This window comes from Homo sapiens, chromosome 4, assembly GCF_000001405.40.
Source record: "Homo sapiens chromosome 4, GRCh38.p14 Primary Assembly".
In the NCBI taxonomy this organism is placed as follows: Eukaryota; Metazoa; Chordata; class Mammalia; order Primates; family Hominidae; genus Homo; species Homo sapiens.
The window spans coordinates 110,642,398-110,649,110 of record NC_000004.12 but is presented as its reverse complement, the minus strand read 5'-3'; the positions used below and the strand labels follow the sequence as shown (position 1 = coordinate 110,649,110).

General features: G+C 36.1%; 1 long non-coding RNA gene across 1 annotated transcript; it reads right to left on the bottom strand.

Moving 5' to 3' along the window:
- Positions 1-384: 384 nt before the first annotated feature.
- On the bottom strand, positions 385-2,038 carry LOC124900857 (uncharacterized). Its single transcript, XR_007058474.1, has 2 exons — positions 1,981-2,038; positions 385-532 (listed from the first exon to the last, which is right to left on the bottom strand). It is a non-coding gene; the product is annotated as an uncharacterized LOC124900857 (long non-coding RNA).
- Positions 2,039-6,713: the final 4,675 nt, after the last annotated feature.

Sequence of the window (6,713 nt, the reverse complement as noted above, 5' to 3'; positions counted from 1 at the left end):
TGGTTTATTTAAAATCGCAATGCTTCAAATGAACCTCCTATTTTGAATTTTTTAAGCATTTTTTCATTTCTCTACATAGAGAATACAGGGTTAGGCACAGAGAATATATTCCCAATTATGTTACTATTTTAAACTGTCTTTTAAAATGAAAACTTTAATAAAACAAAACGCCACATATAGTTTAATCATTTTACTTCTAAGTAGGATAGAGAGATCAGATTTAGCTTTCTTAAATGTTTCATGACAGCTTATTTGTATTTTTTTATAGCTGTGAACTCAAATATAAAGGAAAAATCCTGGTAAGAATAACAACCTCAGAAAAAAAATCCATTGTTCAAAATAACAGCGAAAACCACAGTCAATGACTTCAAAAACAGTGAGGTATTTTTCAGCTCCATAGTAATGTTTATTAACTAAAACCTAACACTGGTAAAGAATATGTGGCTATTATATCACAGTCCCCTTGGTCATCAGTTGCTTTGAAGATCTGGGTTTATATCAATTTCACAATTTTCAGGTATCTGCTTATAACCTAAGGTAGGAAATCAGAAATGATAAATCAATTAAAATCAGTGAATATGATCCAGATCAGTATTTCATTCTATTTTAGAATTAATTTTTTATTTCACATAAAAATGTTGATTTTTATTTACTCCCCACTCAACTCTACTCTTTATCTTTCACTATCCATAGGCCATAGCCAGACAGGCATAGGCCAATGAGCTAGTAATAAATAGAACACAGATGTTGGTTCCCATGGGGCAGCAAGTAGTCTGGTACATGGTAACAGAGGGGAACCTGGAGGGTTATCATGCTTCTACCCCAGCCTCCCAACTCAAGCTCCTCTGTCCTGGCAGACTCCTCATTCCACATGGACTGCGTGATCACTAAACTTGGCACTTCAGGGGGCATATCTTTTTTGAGTAACTCTCATAAACATGCCTGCCTGCAGGACATCCAGATTTTCTGGTTTGGTAGTAAAGCAACATAAGAATAATCTTGAACCTGATGTTCATCCTTGCCTTCTTTCTAATTCCAGGAGCCCTCTGAGGTCTGGACTAACTCACTGATTAGGAAATAGTATTTGGAAAGGCTAAACAAAATACTATTTCCAGGGAAATAGTATTTGGAAAGGCTAAACAAAATATACTTTCTTAGTTTTCTCAAACCTCTCAGAAGATATATTTTTTAAAAAATAAACTAAGCTAGCAACATTTAAACTAAATCTTTGCCTTGCTTACAATACAAAAGATGATAAAAAAATTGTTGGGAAGGTGAGAAATTAACTTCACCTATAATTAGAAGTAAAGTTTTCATTTAAAAATGTAATACCACTTAAATTCAATTTGGGAAACAAAAAGGACTCAAAAAACAGTCTGCTAAAGCCAATTTGCAAACAAGTGCGCTCTCTTTTTCTTTAAGTTGTATCTCAGGTTCAGAGCACATGTGCAGGTTTGTTATGTAGGTAAACCTGTCACAGGGATTTGTTGTACAGATTATTTTGTCACCCAGGTACTAAGCCTCGTACCCAATAGTTATTTTTTCTGATCCTCTCCCCTCTCCCATCCGCCACCTTCCAATAGGCCCCAGTGTCTGTTGTTCCTCTCTTTGTATCTATGAGTTCTCCTCATTTAGCTCCCACTTATAAGTGAGAACATGCGTTATTTGGTTTTCTGGTCCTGATTTAGTTTGCTAAGGATAATGGCCTCCAGCTCCATCCATATTTCTGCAAAAGGCATGATCTCATTCTTTTTTTAACTATTCCACTCTCTCTATTACTCTTTCTTCTTCCCCCAATCCTGAACCCTACCATGTCAGTTTAACCACTCCTTTTCTTTCCTTTTTCTTTGCTCATTTGCACATAGTTAAAAGATGCCATGAATTTTTCTTTTTAATTCAGCATATGCCCATTAAAGATCTAAAAATATTATTTACATCATCCAGAACTCAGCTTAAGAAATTACCAAAAAATAAAGCTACCAGAAAGTAACTGAATCATCTTGTTGAGCCACAATCCTAGACCTCGACTCTGCTTTTTCCTCATTTTAGGCAGGTCATTCCTTTTCCTTTCTTAAATTGTTTTCTCTGTATTCAATAACACATTCTTGTGGATTCAGAAAGGGTGGAGTATGAGGAAAAGGAATATGATATATGTACCCTAGAGGAAAACAATAAATAAATATTTCAGGATGGAAAACATTATTTTTATTTTTATTGAGTTTTCTAGAGTCTATTTGATTTGTGTAAATCAGAAACCAGTAGAATGACATTAATGAATTAATGAAAAGCAGAATGAGTTATCAGTTGTAACAAAAAGAATAAAGAATTTCAAGAACACAGCTTTAATCATGCATGGCTGCGGGGAGAGAAAAATAACAAAATGCTCTCAGTGAATACATCTCTGAGAGAAGAAAGGAAATACTTAAGGAGAGGATAAAAAGAGCAAATATCAAAAATAGGAGTAAGAACCCTATTGCTTTTTTTAGTTGACAAATAAAAATTGTATATATTTACTGTGGACAACATGATATTTTGAGGATTACGATCACTTTTGATTCATAAATTACATTCAAGAAAAAGAAATTCTCAAAAAGTTTGGGAACATATGAAGTTGAAAGAACATTAATACTCAGATAAGGACAGTACATGACAAATTATTCTTGCTCCAACATTTTCTCTCAGGAAATTTAAACATCTTTCAGTGAAGCACCAGTTTCTTGAAATCAAGCATGAGAAAAAAAACTAAATTCACCTGTGGAAAAAAAGACACAGCTAAACAAAAAAGCGGTTGTTATAACCTCAAGAGTGGCATGAACAAAATGATCAACATTCTCCCAAGTGACAGCACAAATATCAAAAGTCCTAATAAGTGGAAGTGGTCCTGTCATGACAAAAGGTGTGGTATTTGTACAATTTCCAGATAAGAACAAAGTCATGACGCTAAGACAGTAGCAGCACTGTTTGTTACACGTGATATTTGAAAAATATGACAACCATCTCAATCTGCTCAAGTAGCACTCATGGTGAGGGTGAAATTTTATCAACATTGGTTAACTTATGGTGTTTTAAAAAACTAGCAAGGAGATAAATTGATGGATTAAAAGATAAACTACTCACAGGCAGACAAACAGAAGGACAGATAGAGTTACAATCAAACATGTACTTTACTCAGGCAGAAAGATAATAACCAGCCCCCAAGAAGTGATGTGTCTGCTAGAAAAGCCCTGAACATAGAATTTCCTGACTTTGTTTTTAATTTAGTTCTTTCAGGCATCACGCTGCATAACCAGGTGTAACTCTCTAAAAGTCTCTATGACAGAATTTTCCATCTGTTAAATTAGGCTAATAATATTTTCATCTTTTTTTAGGGTAAAGATGTGAAATATTTGGAGAACTCTGGAAAACATGCCCCCTACTAATTAGAGCTTTTTGATGTGACATCATTTTCTTCAGTACTTGGAGTTTAGTCAATAGATATACAGTGTAGCTGTGAAATTATGAAGCATGAGAATGCATTACCAAGGGACCGTAGGAGGCTCTTTACTGAAAAGTGTAGCTGGCTATATTTCTGGAAGTAATTTAAACATAGGCTGAGGGAGAGGAGTACCCTCTAGATCCTTTCCAGACCTTACTTTCTATGAATTCTAATTTCTCTTTCCCATTTAGAAAAAACAATGAGATCCACAGCGTAGAGATAGAAAATAAGGCTCTGTGTGCCCTCAAACCTTACTTTCAAAAATACCACAGCATTCTGGACGAGATAGTCTTGAATTCTTGCAACAGCACAGGTATGAGAGTTTTTACCAGAAAACAGGAGACTGGATTGATTCTTTCATTCTCCTCCTATGCTTCCTAAAACTGAAAAGCCATATATACAAATTATATTTATCTATCCCTCCTGGAAAAGGCCAAAATGAATCCAATTTTGGATCATTTTCAATAATGGGACAAACCTGAATTGAGAATAACCTTTAGAATCAGTCCTGTCTTTTTGTGATAAAATGGACTTGTAGAAAGCTACCTGGTGTTCTCCCCTAGCTAACATTCTACCACAAACAACGGGTATGTAATCCAGTATTGCTCCCCACAGGCTATGTCCTTGGAATCACTATCTTTGCACTCCATTTGTCTGCTGACATCCTTCCACCCAAGATGTCTTCTTCAGCACAAGAAGTCATTTCTCTTAAAATTTCAAATGACTTTACTACAATAATAGAGTTGCTAACTAGACCTAGGCAAGTAATGATAATAAAAATCTGATTTCTACTTAGAGTGTAGCATGGTTTAACACAACAACCAGAGTCCTAACAGGTTTTTCTAGATTTCACTCCTACTCAACTTGCATGTTCTTGCAATATAGATGTTCTTATTACTCGGTCCTTACTTCCATCTCTCTTTGCTTCTGGAATAAAACTACTTAAACCCAATTCAGAGATTTTATTCTCCCTTGGAATTACTGGGAAACAGTTCTAGTAAACCATATTCCTGAGATCCTATATTAGGCTTAGTCCAAACTGACCATCTAAGCATTAATTTTCCTGTGGCTCAGGAATATCCCTGAGCTTACCTTTCTCTTCCTAAACTGCCCAGGACAAATACCGGAGTTTGGCTTTTCTGCTTTCTCATCCAATCATTTCTCGTTTCCTCCTCTTTAGCATTTAAAACATTTCTGACTTTCTCCATCCCTCAAGAAATATATTTGCTTTCCTGTCTCTGCATTATTCTTTTGTTTATGAAATATTCCATAGGTAAGTTCTATATTTCCTTCCCCCAGAGGCCCCTGGTCTTCTGGTTCCAGTTGCCATTGGTTCAGTGTACTAGTTAACATTTTGGACTTTGGAGTTACACAAACCTAGATTCAAATTCCCACTATGCCACTTACTGCCTACGTGACCTGAAGCAATATCCTATCCACTGTGGCCTCCAGCAGTTATAAGCTTGTGCTCTAACCAGCTGGGTGACCTTGGGCCAGTGACACAATCATGGCAAACCTCACTGTCTTCATTTGTAAAATGACAGTACCTACCTTGTAGTGTTGGCATAAGGAATAAGTGTGATTGTCAATACAAAAGTGTTTAGTACAATAGCTAAATTAACTAAGCACTCTGTAAATATTAGTTTTTACCATTATTACTAATTCAAATGACTAGATGCATTTTGTGTATACCAGGTTTCCTGAGTTCACTTTGTTCTCAACAAATACTATTATTCCTAGCATGTGGCCTATATCACACTTCATTAGCCAGAGGACATGTGAAGCTTAGAGTGGAAAGCTAGGGCAGCAGGAAGCATTGCCACACTTTACACAGTCAAAGCCATTTAAACATGTCTGAATTTGAGCTCTGCTGAGTCCTTACTTGCCCCCATCTCTCCTGTGTGCTCCAGCTTACTAATAAAGCAGGTTTAATATAAATACACTAAAAGCCTAAACATTGAGATCATGATAATGAATATGAGGGCTATGACTATAAAATATCATTGAACCAGAGACCTGCTACGAAACCACATGGTGAAGACCACAAGGGAGGAATCTGCATACACACCGAGTGCCTTGGGATCCCAAAGTGGGAAGAGTCAGTGCCCCAATTAAAGAGAAACTCGGGGTAGGGAATCAACCACAACATCAGTCACCTTACTGAACCCAGGCTTGTTTCAGCTGACGTAGCTGCCAATTTCCAATGTCCCCTCCCTCCCTAATTGCTCTCAATCTATTCCTCCAGAAACTGAAAGCCCATCAAAGAGGATATCTTCCCAGAGAGTTGTTCCAGTTACTACAAGCTCTTGCTAGAAATTCCAAGAAAGTTTACAAGGTACCTTTATAAGGTGGCATTGAGTAAGTCAGAAGCATTCCAAGTACCAATTATCATGCAAATAAGGGCTTTACTTTTAGATTTTGTTGTTTGTGGTGGTGGTGATGCTGGTGTTCTCTCTGGAATCCAGCCCAATCTCCAAAAAAGTAAAAGGAGTACAAATAGTAATACAAATTATTATTACTTACACCAATTAAAATAGAAGTTTTGAATGAGCAAGGAGCTAGAGGAGGTAAAAACTGGGAACTTCGTATATTAAAAGGTTTTTATAATTTGAAAACTAAGATTATGCTGGCCAAATAGGCTGTTTTAAAATCAGCATAGTAATCAAATTTGCTTGTAATGAATGTAGACCCAAACAGTGATGTCAGACCTGATAAGGACTTGCAAACCCTAAAAGAGTGCAAAAAGACCATAGAAGAACAATATTATATTCCTGCACTTACAGAAATGGTCAGCTCAAGAGATGTATCCAGTTCAGGGTGGCTGTAAGCTTCATTTTCTGAACTTGCTACCAGAAGTTAAAAGAAATTCTGTATAACTGCTTTTGATGGAAACACAAATTGGTTGATGTAAATGAAATACATAAAGCAGTTGGTGTCTTATTCATTCCCACAATTATAAATGAAATTAAATGATCAAAAATTATAGACTTTGGGGATCTTCTTTTCACTGAGGAGCCCATGGAATTTGTCTTCTCTAGTACCAATAACTGTGTTGACCTATTTTTTCCTGTCTAACTCTGTATATATTAAAACTAGGTGGTTACGAACAAAACCCAGAAATACAATTTACATTCTAATAAAATGACTTTAAAATTATTCCACTTTTTACTGTGGCTTTACCTGTTGTCCCACAATGCAGGTTTCTCTGGGCCTCTGCTTAGAATGACTCTGTCAATGT